The sequence below is a fragment of the Homo sapiens genome, chromosome 2 (assembly GCF_000001405.40).
Source record: "Homo sapiens chromosome 2, GRCh38.p14 Primary Assembly".
In the NCBI taxonomy this organism is placed as follows: Eukaryota; Metazoa; Chordata; class Mammalia; order Primates; family Hominidae; genus Homo; species Homo sapiens.
In genome coordinates this window covers 27565535-27582728 of record NC_000002.12, presented here as the reverse complement: position 1 = coordinate 27582728, position 17194 = coordinate 27565535, and the positions used below count along the sequence as shown (strand labels likewise).

The window sequence follows — 17194 nt, the reverse complement described above, 5'->3', positions numbered from 1 at the left end:
GGAAGATCATTTACTGCCCCTTTATTCATCTTAGAGAAATTACAGACCCATTCTCACCCGCCTCCCCCCCGGTAGAGAGAAATGGAAGCCTTTCCACGCTGGGGGCGCAGGAATTGGAGGCAGTGGCTGAGCAGGAAAGAAGCCTGGAAAGGGCAGCACGATGAAGACTTAGGACAATGAATAATAGGGGCGGACCTCGCCTCATCGAGTAGCTTCAGGCCTCCACACTTGCCCTGCTTTGGGATTTTTATGTGTGGTCCCGAGGAGAGTTGTTTGATTCTTGAAATCTCTAGACAAACTATGGCTGGGCCTCTCTCCAGGGAAACTGTACTTGAGTCCCTCCTTAAGGGGACTGCGTCGGCTCCTCTCAGAGGGACTGCAATGGTTCCTCCCAGAGGGCCTCCCTGGCCTCATCTCAGAGGGACTGTGACGGGTTCTCTCACAGGAACTGCGATGGCTCCTCTCAGAGGTCCTCCCTTGCCTCATCCCGGAGGGACTGCGATGGCTTCTCTCAGAGGGACTGTGACAGGTTTTCCCAGAGGAACTGTGTCCTCTCCTCTCAGAGGGACTGCAACGGCTTCTTTCCAAGGGACTGAGGTGGCTCTTCTCTGAGGGACTGTGACTTCTCTCAGAAATCCTACGATGGCTCCTCTCAAAGGACCTGTGAGATCTCCTCTCAGAGGGACTGCGATGGCTCCTCTCCAAGAGACTGTGACGGCTCCTCTCCAAGGGACTGTGACGTCTTCTCTCAGAGGGACTGTGATGGCTTCTCTCAGAGGGACTGTGATGGCTTTTCTCTGAGGGACTGTGATGTCTTCTCTCAGAGGGACTGCGATGTCTTCTCTCAGAGGGACTGCAATGGCTTCTCTCAGAGGGACTGCAATGGCTTCTCTCAGAGGGACTGTGATGTCTTCTCTCAGAGGGACTGTGATGGCTTCTCTCAGAGGGACTGTGATGGCTTCTCTCTGAGGGACTGCGATGGCTCCTCCGAGCGGGACTGCGATGGCTTCTCTTAGAGGGACTGTGATGTCTTCTCTCAGAGGGACCACGATGGCTCCTCTGAGAGGGACTGCGATGTCTTCTCTCAGAGGGACTGCAATGGCTTCTCTCTGAGGGACCGCGATGGCTCCTCTGGGAGGGACTGCGATGTCTTCTCTCAGAGGAACTGCGATGGCTTCTCTCTGAGGGACTGCGATGGCTTCTCTCTGAGGGACTGTGATGTCTTCTCTGAGAGGGACCGCGATGGCTCCTCTGAGAGGGACTGTGAAGGCCCCTTTCAGAGAGACTGTGACAGCTCCTCTCGGGGGGACTGCAGTGATTTCTCTGAGACGGACTGCGCCAGCTTCTCTCAGAAGGACTGGAATGGTTTTTCCTAGAGGGACTGCAGTGGCTCCTCTGAGAGGGACTGTGATGTCTTCTCTCCAAGGAACTGCGTTGGCTTCTCTCAGAGGGACTGCGATGGTTTCTCCAAGAGGGGTTATGACGGGTTCTCTCAGAAGGACCGCGTGGGGTTCTCTCCCTATAGAAGCTGGGGTGGTTATGCTCCTTGTGTGTGAGTTTGTCTTTAAGATGTCGGTGCCAGGTTCTCTTCACAGGGGAACCAGGTAGGATTCTTCCTCGGGCCTGAACTCTGGTTCCTGGTGTGGACAAGTTCTTAGACTCCTGGCTGGAGGTTTCATTTCTATAGAAGTTTTTCTTTGATCTGCTACTACTGTCCTTTTGAACAGTTCTCAGAGGCTGCCCCACTGAGGCAGTTTGGAAAGCAATACCACTTTGGGAATCTGTGGGCTTGGGCAGTCGAAGAGGTCTGGGTTGGAAAGAGTAAGCTCTTCTTGGCTGTTGAGCTGATCTGCACTGGACCGTTCCTCCCCACAATATGTCCTCCTGCTTAATGGTTGAGCCTGCTGGCGTTAGCTTGTCAGCTGACCTCTTGTCTCTTTTGATACTGCTTGGTAAGCAATAGTCCCTGGCATTTTGTTTTGGATAATAGTTTTTGCTTGCCCACAAATTGTCTGGCCTTGTCCCGTCCACAGGCTTCCGCCCAACAGAAGCTATAACTCTGTGTGCTGTTTGGAATGCCCGCTTTAGGCTCTGAAAAAGCAGTTGCATGAACTTGGGTTGGGAAGGTTTCTTAGGTTGTCTTTTTAAAGAGGCAGTACTTGTCTGAGTTGCTCCAATCCTCTTCCTTCTTAAATGGGCTGCTAATTCCCTAGAAGGACTCTCTATTGTGGTTCTACTGTTTGTGTAGAACTTTCTGTGTTTTCTAAGTCGCTTGGTGATTCTCTTCATTGGATATTTTGAATCAGAGGTCTTTTTGGTTCTCACTTTAGCCCGTTTTTCATTCTGAGTGCTTTCAGAGTCACTCTCTGGTAGGTTGTGAACTTGAGTGAATTCATAGTGCCCAGGTGCTCTAGTTTTTGTCTTTTCTACTAAGTCAGGCCTGCTGCGTTGTCCTCGCCTGATGTAGACTTGTACAGGAGCAGGGGACTGGGAAGGCCCAGACTGCAAATCTATTGTGGAAGTAGGACTCTTGGAAGCTTGAGTATAGATTTTAGCTTTCCTTTGTGATGGTGATATAGGGCTTCTCCGTATGACGGGTCTATCTCTTTCACGATACTTTGAGATTTGGGATCTTTTCCCAATTCTCAGCCTAAAGCCAAGATGCAACCGAACCTCACCATGGCCTTCAGGAGTGCGTACAAGGTGGAGCTGTGGATAGATAAGAAGATAAGGCCCCGAAGTGGTCTGTAATTTATGATGGCAATTAAGTCCTGAACATCGGCCACACTGTAGGCAGATAGGGTATTTTAGGACTAGACCTGAAGCTAGAGGTGGAGGCACATCGGGGGGTATTTGACTCCTTAAGAGTTTTGCTGCTATTTTTAGCTGCAGATCTTCTAGCAACTGGAACTGTTCTGAGAAGTCAGTCTTGGCCTGGGAAAGATAATTTGGCTTGAGGGAGTGTTGGGACTCAGAAATCCTTGTCTGGGAATCACTCTGTGAGTCCTCACTTTCTTCCATTGGAACAAGATCTTCTCTATCGTAAAATATGCTGAGGGAAGACTCTGACTTTACCAGGACAGGAAGCTGGCCCCCTGCACATGAGACAGGCATATGTTGAATGACTTCTTGGGATATACCATTGAACGTTGAGTTTGTCTTCTTTATTCTCACTCTAGTCCCAGAGTATTGCTGTATTATGGAAGATGTGGAGCCACGTGTCCATATCCTTAAGGCCATTCTTTTCTTATGACCATGATAAAAAGTATGTCTCTGAATATAGTTTTTGACCACAGAAGGCTGAGAAATAGTAACTGGACCCTTCTCTGGCAGGCTCTGGGAAGGTTCCATCAGTTCAGCTGGAATCCCAAATAAATTCTGAATAGATTGACAGGTATCTGCAGTGGCTCTTTCTGCTAAAGATGTTTGAGAACAAAGCTTCCTTTCCATAGTGGTCCCTAAAATATTCCCCAGCATTAGCATAGTGGAGAGATATTTTCTTGGTAGTCGCTGCCTCCAGGCATGACTCTCCCAGACATTGTGTTGTCTGCCCGGGAAAGACTTGATGAGACCTTTCTGAACCCCTGATTCTGCCTGGAATGTCCTAGATCGTGATCTCCAGCTTTGTGGTAGATGTCTCTGAAGTGAGTTCTCTAGCTCCTCCATTTGCTTCCTCTTAGTTGTCTCTTTAGATATTACATCCACTCCTAGAATCTCAGGACATGGGTTTTCCACAATGTTAGCTGTCTTATCGGAGCTTTGATTATGAAGGGCCAAAGGAAAAGTTAAAGATTGTATCATAGTAGGGTCTATATAGGTCTCTTCAGGCTGCAAAATATCTGTCCCAGGGTTTTTTATATCCAAAGCTCTGGATACTTCCTGTATCCCAGAATCCCAAAGTCCTCCTAATTCAGATGCTGTTCTGACAGAGCTTGAAATGAGTGTGGTTGAAGAGCTTTGTAGGAACCTAGAGAAGTCAGTCCCTACTTGTAACTCTTCTGATGTTAACTTCTGACAGTCCCTATTCTGACACACGTGTCCTAGATTCAAATCCTCAGTTTCCATAACTTTAGGAGGCTCTGTTTTTATCACTGTAGATTTCACAGCCTGAAGCCCTTGTTTATGAGTCAATATTGTATGTTCCTCAAATGGAGATGTTTGCGGTGAGGTTAATTCTGCAGACTTCACTTGAGTACATGGACTTGGAGTTAATTCTGCAGGTACTATCAGTTCTTGAAGATGTGGCCTTGGAAGTAAATCCACACAATTTATTGCTTCAATTCCTGATTCTAGGGCTACTCCTATTGGTTCTACAACCTGAGGAATTGGTCCTGGTGCTAACTCCTCAGATTTTACGATTTGAAGGGATGGCCCTGGGATTAACATAGTTTTTACAATTTGAAACCCTGTCAACTCCACTGTTTCCAAAATCTGGTGTTTTGGCTTTGTGATTAATTTTGTAGATTTCACATCTTGCAAACATGGCCCTGTGTGGTGCTCTGAAGGTCTCACATATTGCAGTTTTGGAGTCAACTCAATATATTCTACCATTTGAGGGGTTGGCCTTGGTATCGTCACAGACTTTACAATTTGAAATGGTGGTCCAGGGGTCACTTTCACAGATTGAACAACTTTTGGGACATCTATGAGGATTACCTCTTCAGATTGAGCAACTTGAAGCTGTGTCCTTGCAGATTCTGTGACTTGATCTAGTGGCTCTGGACTAATCCTCATAAATTCTACAATTCGACCCAGTGGTCCTGGGGTTGTCCCTGGAGATTTCATACTTTGATTCTTTGACTTTGTTAGCCCCATTGATACCTCCCTGTGCTGCCGTGCCTCAGAGGTGAGCTCTACAGATTCTTCATGTCCTATAACTTGACTTGTTTGCTTCAGGGGCACCTCTAAAGATTCCTCCATTTGTAGCCATTGCTTACAGGTCAGATTTACAGATTCTGGGACTTGATGTCCTAACCCTGATATTATCCCTGGAGATCCCACATGATGCTGTGGTTTGGGGGTTAATTGCAAAGTTTTCTCTACCTGCACTCCTGACTTAGAAGTCAACTCCACAGATTCAGGAACTCGATGTCCTAACCCAGGTGTCATCCCTGAAGCAGAATCTGGGACGTGATGTAATGACTTTGGAATCAATACCACAGATTCTTCCCCTTGCAGTCTTTTCTCAGAGATCACCTCCACACATTCTAAGTTTTGAGGACAGAGCCTTGGGGATCTCTCTGCAAATCCAGTGGCTTGACTTGTTGGCTTTGGGGTCATTCCAAAGAATTCATTTGCTTGTATCCTTGCCTCAGCGGTCAACCCCATAGCTTCTGTAAAGTAATGCTTGAGTTCCGGAGTAATCCCTTCATATTCCACAGTTTGCTGCAGTGGCTTCATATATAACTCCCCCACATCCTTAACTCGGGGCCGTGACTGAGAGAGCAATTCCATAGTTTCTAGGATTTGGTAGCTTTTCTCTGGAGTTAATCCTAAGAATTTTGAGCCTTGATCCCTTACCATTGGAGTCAGATCAACAAATTTTGGTACCTGAAGATCTGGCTGCAGCAGCATCCCTAAGGATTCCTTAGCTCTACCTGTTAGCTTTGGGGTCAACCCCACAGATTTCTCTACAGTATCTATGCCTTTATATGCCAATCCTTGTGCCATTTCTGAAGATTCTGTGGCGTGATAAATTGGTATTGAAATCAAATTTGCAGATTTAGGGATTTGATACTTTGGCTGTGGGATCATCTCTGCATATTTTGCAAACTGATGCCCTGGTCTAGGGATTAGTTCAGAGGATTCCATGATTTGATAATTTGTTCTTGGAGTTTGCTCCCCATATTTCACTCTTTGAGGCAGTGACCCTGGTGCTAATTCCACAGATTTTATAGTTTGCTGCAGAGACACTGAAGATAATTTCACATGTTTTACGCTTTGCAACTTTGGCTCTACAGTAAACTCCAAAGATTTCACATCCTGTTGCTGTGATTCTGGAGACAAATTTGAAAATCTGACACTAGTCAACAGTGGTCCTGATGGGAACTTCCTAGTTGGCTCTGGTACCAACATCATTGATTTCACATCTTGCCATCCTGAAGTCAACTCTTGATAATTTATACCTTGCTGTTGGGCCCCTGGTGTCAGCTCCATAGGTTTTACATCTTGAAAGCATGGCTTCGATGCAAAGGCCACAGATTTAACGCATTGTGACCCAAAGCATGATGTCAACCCTGAAGAATTTACACTTTGAGGTTGTGGCCATAGAGTTGACTTCACAGATTTCACATCTTGAGAACATGGCTCTGGTACAAATACCACAGATCTCACATTATGCTGCCTGAGGTGTGAATGGAACTCCTCAGAATTCATACCTTGCAGCTGCGGGCCAGAGTTGAACTCCTTTGGTGTTATATCTTGAAATTTTGTCCCTGGAGTCAGTTCACATTTTACATCTTGTAAATGTTGCACAGAGTTGAACACAACAGATTTTATACCTTGAAGCTCTGGCCCTGGATGCAACTCAGAAAATTTCATAACTTGAAATTTTGTCCCTGATTCTACACCTTGCAAGTGTGGCGCAAGTTTGCACTCCATAGAATCTATACATTGCAATTTTAGCCCTGGATTCAACTCAGAAGAATTCACATACTGCACCTGTGGCCCAGGGTTGCATTCCATAGGTGCTGCACGTAGAAGCTTTGACCCTGGAGTCAATTCAGATTTTAAACCTTGCAAATGTGGTATAGGGTTGAACATCATAGGTGTCTCACTTTGAATTTCTGTCCCTGGGTTCAATTCAGAACACTTCATACCTTGAAGTTTTGAAACTGGAGTTAATTCAGGCGATTTCATACCTTGTAAATACGGCCCTGGGTTGCACCCAATAGAATTTACACAGTGAGCTTTTGGCTGTGGAATGAATGCAGAATTCACACCTTGCAAATGTGGCCCAGGGATGCACCCATTAGAACTTATACACTGAAGTTTAGGTGCTGGAATGGATGCAGAATTTACACCTTGCAAAGGTAGCCCACAGTTGCTCCCAGTAGAATTTACACACTGATGTGGTGGCTCTGGAATGGATACAGAAGAATTCACATCTTGCAAATGTGGTCCAAGGCAGAACACCTTAGATTTTATACCTTGAAGCTCAGGCCCAGGATTCAACTTGGCAGATTTTGTTCCTTGCAACTGTGGTCCAGGGTTGAAATCTAAAGATTGTATACCTTGAAGCCTTGTTCCTAGGCACAACTCAGAAGATTTCACACCTTGCAACTGTTGCTGAAGATTGAATTTCATAGATTTTACATCTTGAAGCTTTGTCCCTGTGCATAATTCTGAAGATTTTCTATGTTGCAGATGTGGCTCAGGATTGAACACCATAAATTTTACACTTTGAAGGTCTGGCCATGGATTCAATTTATGAGATTTCTCATCTTGCTGCTGCTTTTCAGCATTGAACTCAGAAGGTGCCACACTATGAATCTTTGATTCCAAGGCCAACTTAGAGAGTTTTGCAACCTGCAATTCTGGGTCATGGTTGCCTTCTGTAGAGTTCACCGTCTGAAGCTTTATCAACCCAGATTTCATATCTTCCAACTTTGCCCCAGGATTATATTCTACAGATTTCACACCCTGAAGGTGTATCCCTGGTGTCAACATAGATAATTTTCTATCTTGTAACTGTGAAGTTGAGCTTAACTCCAAAGATGTCCTATCCTGTACCTTTGTACCTACAGTCAATTCAGAAGATTTCACATCTTGCCGCATTGGCCTAGGCATGAGCACAGATTTCACTTTTTGAAGCTTTGTCGCTGGGATCACTTCAGAAGATTTCATACCTTGCAAGTGTGATCCAGAACTGAACTCCATAGATTTTACATCTTGAAGCTCTGTCCCCATTATTGAGTTAGAATATTTTGTATCTTGCCACTGTGGGCCCGAGTTGAACTCCACAGATTCCCCACCTTGAAGCTTTGTCTCTGGTGTTAACTCAGAAGATGTCACACCTTGTAACTTTAGACCATGGTGGAATTCTACAGATTTAACATCTTGATGGTTTGTTCCCTGAATCAACTCAGAAGATTTTTCGCTTTGTGTCTGTTGTCCAGAATTGAAATCCATTGATTTCATACTTTGAAGCCTTGTCCCTGAGGTTACCTCAGAAGATTTTATACCTTGAAAGTGTTGTCCAGAACTGAACTTCATAGATTTTACATCTTGAAGCTTTATACCCATGATCAGATCAGAAGATTTTATATCTTGTAACTGTGGGCCTGATTCCAGCTCTACAGATTTCACACCTGGAAACTTCCTCCCCAGGGTCAAATCAGATTTCTCACTTTGTAACTTTGGACTAGGTTTGAATTCTACCGATTTCACACCCTGAAGCTTTCCCCCTGGAATCACTTCAGAAGATTTCACAGTCTGTAAGTGTGGTCCAGAACTGAAATCCATAGATTTAATGTCTTGACACTTTATACCAATGATCAACCTAGAAGATTTCAAATCTTGCAACCGTGGGCCTGAGTTGCATTCCATTAATTTCACTTCTTGAAGCTTTGTCTTCGGTATCGACTCAGAAGATTTCACTCCTTGCAACTGTGGCCCAGGTTTGAAGTCTGTAGATTTGACACCTTGAATCTTGGTCCTTGTGGTCAAATCATAATATGGGATATCTTTCAATTGTGAACTGGGGTTTAACTCTCTAAACTTCATGTCTTGGGACTTTGTCTTAGGGTTCAACTTAGAAGATTTGACACATTGCCATTGTGGCCCAGAGTTGAACTCCTCAGATTTCATACCTGGAAGTTCTGTCTGATGAGCCAATTCAGATGATTTCTTGCTTTTCAAGTGTAGTAAGGAGTTCAGCGCTACAGTTTTATCACTTTGTAATGGTAGCTCTTGGCTTAATACTCCAGATTTCACCCCTGAAAACTGTGGCACTTGTGTAAACGCTGGAGACTTCACATCTTGCAGCTGTGTTCCTGGGCATGCCTCCAAGGGTTTCACTTTGTGCAGCTGTGGTCTTGGGGTCAACTCAGAAGATTTCACATCTTGCGAGTGAAGCCCAGGTTTGAATGCCATAGATTTTATATCACAGAGCTTTGATGTTGAAATTGGGCCACATGATTTCACAGTTCTCAACTGTAGCCCAGATTTCAAAGCAATAGGTTTGAGCCCTGGCAACTGATGTTCCTGGAGTGATGTCAAAGGTTGTATACTTTGGAGCTTTGGCCTTGGAGTCAACTCAGATGACTTCACATTTCTTAATTGTACTGAAGGTTTCAATTCTACAGTTGTGACAACTCGAGATTGTGAACCACATTTTAGCACAGATTTCACACCTTGGAACTCAGGTCCTGGTATCCACTGCACAGAGTTCACACTTCCAAGCTGTGAGTCTTTGTTTGACTCCACATCTTTTACACCTTGAAGCTGTGGCTCTGAGGTTGACGCCAGAATTTTCCCTTTCTGCAACTGTGGTCCTCGGGACATCTTAGGAGTTTTCACACATTGCAACTGTGGCCCAAAGTTAAACTCCACAGGTTTTGCACCTTGAAGTTTTGGCCCTAGAGTCAATTCAGATGATTTTACACCTCCCGACTCTGTGGAGGATTTCAACTCTGCAGGCTTGACACCTCGAGATTGTGAACCAAGATTCAACCCTACAGTTTTTACACCTTGGAACTCAGGTCCTGATATCCACTGCACAGATTTCGCATTTCCAAGCTGTGAGTCTTGGTTTAGCTCTACAGTTTTCACACCTTGAAAATATGGCTCTGAGGTCGATGCTGGAATTTTCCCTTTTTGCAGCTGTGGTCCTTGGGACAACTCAGGAGCTTTCACAAAGTGCAACTGTGACCCAAGGTTAAACTCCATAGATGTTACACTTTGAAGTTTTGGCCCTAGAGTCAGTTGAGATGACTTTACACCTCCTGACTCTATGGAAGATTTCGACTCTCCAGGTTTGACACCTTGAGATTGTGAACCAAGATTTAACCCTATAGTTTTTACACCTTGGAACTCAGGTCCTGGTATCCACTGCACAGATTTCACACTTGTAAGCTGTGAGTCTTGGTTTAACTCCACAGTTTTCACACCTTGAAGTTGTGGCTCTGAGGTGGATGCTAGCATTTTCCCTTTTTGCAGCTGTGGTCCTGAAGACAACTCAGAGGTTTTTACACACTGCAACTGTGGCCCACGGTTAAACTCCATAGGTTTTGCACCTTGAAGTTTTGGCTCTAGAACCAATTTAGATGCTATCATATCTCCCAACTGTATGGAAAGTTTCAATTCTGCAGGTTTGACACTTCGAGATTGTGACCCAAGATTTAACCCTACAGATTTTAGACCTTGGAACTCAGGTCTTGTTATCCACTGAACAGATTTCATTCTTCCAAGCTCTAGCTCTTTGTTTAACTCCACAATTTTCACACTTTGAATCTGTGGCTCTACAGTCGAGCCCAAGGGTTTCACTTGGTGCAACTGTGGTCCTGGGGTCAACTTGGGAGATTTCATACTTTGCAACTGTGGTTCATGTTTGAACTCTTTAGCTTTTACATCTTGCATATTTGATTCTGGAGTCAATTCAGATGATTTTATACCTTTCGACTGTAGGTCAGACTTGAGGTCTACCGATTTTATACCTTCAGATTTTGGCTCTGGAATTAACTCCAAAGACATTACACCTTCTGACTCAGACCCTTTCTTTACTTGCTCAAAATTCACACATTGCTGCTCTTGTGAGTTTACAGATATCTGACCATCCTGTTCAGGCTCAAGGGTTAAATCCACAGGTGCCATCCCTTGAAACTGTTGCTTTAGGGCTAAATCCACAGATTTTACTTCTTCAAACTCTTCTCCTCTGGTTATATTCACAAATTTTACTGCCTGCCTCTTTTGCCATGGGGTCAACTTTACAGGTTTTACACATTGCAGATGTGGATCTTGAGTCTCCTTTATAGATTTTAAACTTCGAAGCTTTAAACATGGAGTAATCTCCACAAATTTCATATCTTGCATTTGTGGGACTGAGGTCAGTTCTTCAGGTTTCACACTTTGTAGCTGAGGCCTTTGAAGCGTCTCCATAGATTTAACCCCTTGAAGCAATGGCCCTGGTGCAAAAGCCATAGACTCACCTTGCATCTTTAGCCCAAGTTTTAATTTAGCAGTTTTCATATCTTGCAGCTGTGTACCTAGGACCAACTCCTCAGTTTTTAAATCTTGAATTCTTGAACATGGAGTCAACTCCACAGATTTTACACCTTGAAGCTCAGAATCAGGGGTGAATTCCACAGATTTGACATCTTCTGTCTGTGACCCTAAGGTTATCGCCACAGATTTCCCACCTTCCGGCTGTGGGAAGGTTATCTCCATAGATTTTATGCTTTCCAGGCATGGTCCTGGAGTTAAGGTCACAGATTTCATATCTTCCAAGTGTGATCCTGAAGTCAGCAACTCAGATTGAAGCTTTGAGCCCGGGGTTACCTCCTCAAGTTTTACACCTCCTGCCTGTGGCTCTGGGGTTAACGTCATAGATTTGACATCTTCCAATTCTGGCTCTGGTGTTAACTGCATAGTTTTCACATCTCCCAAATGTGGCCCTGAGATTAATTCCGCAGATGTCATATCTTCTAGCTGTGGCTCTGAGGTTAGCTTTTCAGATCTGAAACCTTTAAGTTTCAAGACTGGGCTCCACTCCACAGGATTTACGTTTTGTAACTGTGGTCTTTGTATCAATTCAGAAGATTTAATACCTTGTAACTGTGGTTGTCTGGTCAACTCAGAATGATTTACACTGGGCAACTGTGGCCCAGGAGTCAACTCCATGGATTCTGCATCTGGCATTTGTGGCTCTGAGACTAATTTATAGGAAACTTCAGCTTCAAGGCTTGGTTCTTGGTTGCCTGCTACATATTTTACACCTTGAAACAGTGGCTCTGGTACTAACAACTCAGGCTTAACCCCTTCCCCCTCTGGCCCTGGAGCCATTGTCACAGGTGGTACCCCTTGCATCTTTGGCCCTGGGGTCATCTCTAAAACTTTTACACATTGTAGCTGTGGCCCTGAGTTTAACTCTAAAGATTTCACACCTTGAGGTTGAGTTCCTGGTACTAAATCAAAACATTTGACATCTTGTAGCTGCAGCTCTGGGTTAAGCCCTACCTGTTTCATACTTTGAGTTCCTGGAAATATCTTTGCTAATTTGGAATCTTGCAGCCCTAACTTTGGAACCACCTCTACAAAATTCACACTATGAAACATTGATCCTGGAGTTTGATCCGCAGAATTGACACCTTGCAGCTTTGGCCTTGAAGTCAATTCAGAAAATTTGATATCTTGCTGCCATGGCCCTAGGTTTACTTCCTCAGATTTTACACTTTGAAATGGTAGTTCTGAGGTCAATTTCGCAGATTTCATGCTGTGAAACTGTGATCCTTCAGTAGACAGAACAGATTTCATATCTTCAATATGTGTCCCTTGGCTTGACTGCAAAGATGACTCTGGTACAAAATCTAGAGACTTTATATCTTCGAGCTGAGCTCCTGGTGTCAACTGCATATGTTTGAAACCTTGATGCTTTGGCTCTGGGATCAAATCAGAAAATTTGACATCTTGCAAGAATAGTCCTGGGCTTAGTTCCACAAATTTCACATCTTGAGGTTGTGATTCTGGAGTCAGCTGTACAAATTTGACACTTTGATGTGTTGGCTCTGGGATAAAATCTGACAATTTGATGTCCTGAACTGGGGAATCTGAGGTCAATTCATCAGATTTCACACCATAATGTGGGGGTTGTGAGATTAATTCTACAGGTTTTTCGCCTTGAAGAAGTGGTCCTGGAAATATCTTTGAAAATCTGACACTTGGCAACTGTGGCCCTGAGGTCAATTCAGAAGATTTGACACTTGGCTGAGATGGGCCTAGATTTAAATCCACAGATTTTACACGTTGGAGCTCTTCCCTCTTAGTCAAATCCTCCAATGGCATACTTTGTAGCGGTAGCTCTGGCATCATCTCCTCAGATTCTACCACTCCTGTAGTTGACTGTTGGATTAAATTCATGTGTTTCATATCTTGCAACTGTGACTCTAGACCCAGCTGCTTAGACTTTTCTCCCTGGAGCTGTGGCCCTGGGGTCAGGTCCATAACATGTGGTTTTTGTTCTGTAATTAACTTTTTAGATCCTATCAATAATGGAGATGACTCACTGGTTAACTCCATAGATTTCAAATTTTGCAGTAGTGGCTCTGATTTCTCATATTGAGTGCCTGGTCCTAGAGTCAACTCCAAAAATCCTGTTTCTGAATGTGGTGGTACTGGGATGACCCCCTGGGTCTTAGCAACTTGAGGCAATGCCAACCCCACAGTTTCTTTATATTCTGACATGGGGGGTATCTCTGACAACTCAGTAACTTCTGAACATGGCCCTAGATTGCAGTAAACAAACTTCATATCATGGGGCTGTGGCTCTGTGGTCACCCCCTCTGATTTCACACTTTGCATTTCTGATCCTGGTATCAAATCCAGAGATTCTTTTGTTGTGTGTTGTGATACTGGAGTTTCCCCCATTGCTTTTCCAAGTTGGTGCATTGTCTTGAGAATGTCTTGGAATGACACTGAGCTCATCTCCACAGATTCTGAAGTTTGGCTCAGTGGCCCTGGGCTAGTTCCTAAAGATGGTTGTGTCAACCCAATAGATTTTTCCACTTGGTGACAGTTGTCAGAGGTCAACTTTGCTTCTTTTCCTTGATATCCTGGTCCGGAGATCATCTCTAAAGATTCTGAGGCTTGATGCCATGGGGTCAATCTTTCAGGCTCTGTGGCTTCATGATTTTGTTTGGGGCTCATCTCTGCAGCTTTTACTTCCTTAAATTGTGTCCCTTTGTTCAGTTCCCCATATTTCATACCTTGCACCTGTGTCTCAGGAATTGACCTCCTACATTCTACCATTTGAGGAGTTTTCACATCTTCAAGCAATAGTACTGGGGCTACCTTCTCAGATCTGACATCGTGTAACCATGGCTTTGGGGCCAACTCCGCAGATTTTGTATCTTCCGTTGGTGGTCTTAGGGTCAGCTCCACAGTGTTTATATCTTGAAACTCTGGTGGTAGGACCAGATGAACAGATCTCCTACCTTGCAACTGTGAACTTGGGGTCAAGCCCCCAGATTCTATAACATGTGGCTGTGCTGGTGGAATTATCTCCCTGAAATCCATGGCTTGTAATAGTGCCACTGGAATTCCTTTCACATAACCCATGACTTGATGTAATGGTGCTGAGATCATTTCCAGTGATTTTGTGTCTTGACATATTAGCCCTGGAGTAGCCTTTCCTTGTTCCATGACTTGACTTTGTGACCCTGAGGTCATGCCCGCAGATTCCATGACTTTATGCTGTGGCCCTGGCATCATTTCCACAGTTTCCGTAACTGCATGTTGTGGCCTTAGATTCATCTTTTCTGGTTTTGTGTCTTGATGGTTCAACAATGTGTTCATTTTCACTGACTCTATGACTTGATATCGTGGTGTTGGAGTCATTCCCACTGATTCTATACATGGATGTGATTTGTTAATCATCCCCATAGAATCCATAACTTGAAGCAGTGCTACAGGAGTTACTTTCTTATTATCTGTGACTTGATTCAGTAATCTTGTGGCCACCCTCTCTGATTCCATAACTTGGTGCTGAGACCTTGGGGCTGCCTCCATTGATTGAATGACTTGATTTGGTGGTTTGGGGGTTATGCTCACTGTTTCCATGGTTTCCATTGGTTTCACAACTTGACTTGGCAGCTGTGAGAACAAACCCGCAAATTCTGAATGTGATTCTGGGATCATCCCCATTGAATCCATGACCCGAAGTAGTGCCAATGGAGTTACCTTTAGGCTATCTTTGACTTGATATGATAGCCTTGGGGTCAACTCCACATTAGTCACTTGTGTCTTGTGCTGCTGTATCCTTTTTTCTGGAAAACCTATGACCCTCTCCTCTATACTAAGCTCTAGCACATGTTTTGGATCATTCTTCAGTAAAGGAGTTTCCTCTTGAATTACATTAAGTTCTAAACTTCTTGGAGGTAGACTGCCCATTGATGTAACTAAAGGCTTGAATCCAAGGATTTGAGGGCCATCCCCAGGTTGTAACTGCTTATCTGAGATAAGTGACTGTGAAAGTTTTGTTTCTGTGCTATTTGATCCAGATCCCACTCCAGCATTCACATGGAGCTGAAATGATGGAAGGTCTGAGGATTTGTTGTTGATATTTTGCTCAGTGTTTTGATGAATGGGCATAGATAACTGAGTTTGGGGTTTCTCTGATTCAGCAACTCCTCCTTGTACTTCAGTTATATAATTCAGCATTGCCCATGATTTCCTCAAAGGTAAAGGTGCTGTTTGTTGCCGCAAAGCAAAAACCTTCTGAGACATATGTCCTTCTAGCTCCCTTCTAACTGAAGGAGAGAGCTTGAATGTAGCCCACCTTGGAAGTCGTGGTCTCTCCTTGGAAACAGAATTTGGCTCATGATCTGATGTCAAATGACTCTTGCTCATTCTCTCATCATTTTTTTTCCTTTTTTGTTTGCAGATATTTAGGGGTTCAGAAATAGAGTTGATAAAAGAGCTCTGAGGTTGTAAGGGTGAAAGATCTGCCAAATTCTGAAAAATTTTTGATTTCTGGGGCTCTGAGAGCTGAAAAAGAGGCAGGGTTCTGCCTTGGTTCCTGAACACAGAGGATTGCTTTTTGTGGGAAATAGGTAAACTATGGCTCCGGAATTCCCAAGTTGTTCCTTCAGAAAAGACAGGAAGATGAGACAGACTGGAGTCATTGCATGATGAACTAAAGGAGATGCTGTGGTCAGTAGAATGTTTTGCTTTCTTATAGTCACAACAGCATAGAACAGTCTTCTGAGCCACAAGAACAGAGGTGGTAGAGGAAGAAATCATATCCTGTGATTCAGGCAAATCCTGTTCCACAAGCCTTGATCTAAGAAATAAAGAGAAATGTTTCAGTTTGCATTGAAATAGGAAAACGAAAAAAGTGGCCATTTCAAATGCAAAATATTTTTGGCCTGAAGGAGAATTTGAAAAAAAAAAAAAGTTTCTTTCCCCAACATCAATTACTTATAGAAATAATTTCTCCACCAGGACAAAGGGAGGAAACTGTTCCCATTCCACCCAGAAATGATCCTTCCACCAGTTTGAACCCAGAACTACCCCCACAGACAAAACAAACTCTCTCTTCTCCCTCTCTCCCTCCCTCCTTCATTCCCTTCCTTTCTTCTTTTTAAAACCTCTACCACCTTCAATCCCCACCCAGAAACTACATTGCCTGACCTTGCGCTTTCTAGGTATCGGAAGATCTGTTGAAGGCTCCGCTCCATTGACCAGAGTATATATTCCTGGGTCCAGCCCACAGGGAGTTCTGAAACACTGGATGCAACAGTGTATGTCAATGTAATTGAAGTTTCATTAAAGTACCAGTAAGGAAAACAATAAGAGAGATTTAACTTAGAAAGGAGAAAGCTATCACAGTGAAGGAAGTAAAACAGAGTCCAGGTACTTTACGTCTAACTTTCACAGAATTTATCAGTAGAATAGGCTGAAGACAGGCTTTACTCACCATGTCAGGTTAGCTTCAGTGCAAGCCATCCTGAGGTTTTCTTCCCACTGTGGATCTGGGAGAAGAGGTGAAGAATCTGTCAGCCTCATGACTATTGATGATCATGATCATTTTGTCCAACCCCCTCTTTTTGCAAATAAGGAAACAAAGATGAAGTTATACCCAAGATCATAAAGCTAATTAGTGGTAGATCTCAGACTTAACCCATCTCAAGATTTTTCAAAAAGCCATACTATGCTGCCTTCATCATACAGTAGATGTAAGCTATATACTTTGGGAAGAATAGGAATAATCATAGTAATAAGCAGTGAGAGTAGGGGAAACAGAGGTCATGATACATATCTTTTTCTCCAAAGGAGTCTATCCAGTATCTGTGGTGGGGGGGAAAAGATAGGGAAACTTCCCTCACCAAACTCTTGGTAGTTACCCTTTGTCCATTCTAAATCTCACCAAGTTTCCTTCCCAATACCTTGGGCTTTGCACAAAAGGAGCTGAGGAAAGGAAGTATAAGGAAAGGAACCATGGAAAGAATTATGGAGCCGTATACATACATATCTTTAGACA

General features: G+C 43.8%; 1 protein-coding gene across 1 annotated transcript in view, besides 1 other annotated feature; it reads right to left on the bottom strand.

Annotated features, from left to right (window-relative positions):
- Positions 1–6: 6 nt before the first annotated feature.
- SPATA31H1 (SPATA31 subfamily H member 1) overlaps positions 7–17194 on the bottom strand; it is a 45337-nt gene continuing 28149 nt past the window's right edge. Inside the window, exons 3-5 of the mRNA NM_032266.5 lie at positions 16631–16685; positions 16345–16440; positions 7–15994 (exon numbers count right to left, since the gene is read on the bottom strand). Coding sequence (NP_115642.4) covers positions 202–15994; positions 16345–16440; positions 16631–16685 — 15944 coding nt within the window. The 3' untranslated portion in view covers positions 7–201. The remainder of the gene's footprint in view (positions 15995–16344; positions 16441–16630; positions 16686–17194) is intronic.
- Positions 15631–16830: an enhancer, noted in NCBI's record as "CDK7 strongly-dependent group 2 enhancer chr2:27788766-27789965 (GRCh37/hg19 assembly coordinates)". NCBI's record gives its function as "activates an origin of replication core promoter dependent on BRD2, BRD4, P300/CBP, MED14 and CDK7 cofactors, with strong dependence on CDK7, by STARR-seq in HCT116 cells {active_cell/tissue: HCT116}" and the evidence as "EXISTENCE:reporter gene assay evidence [ECO:0000049][PMID:35650434]".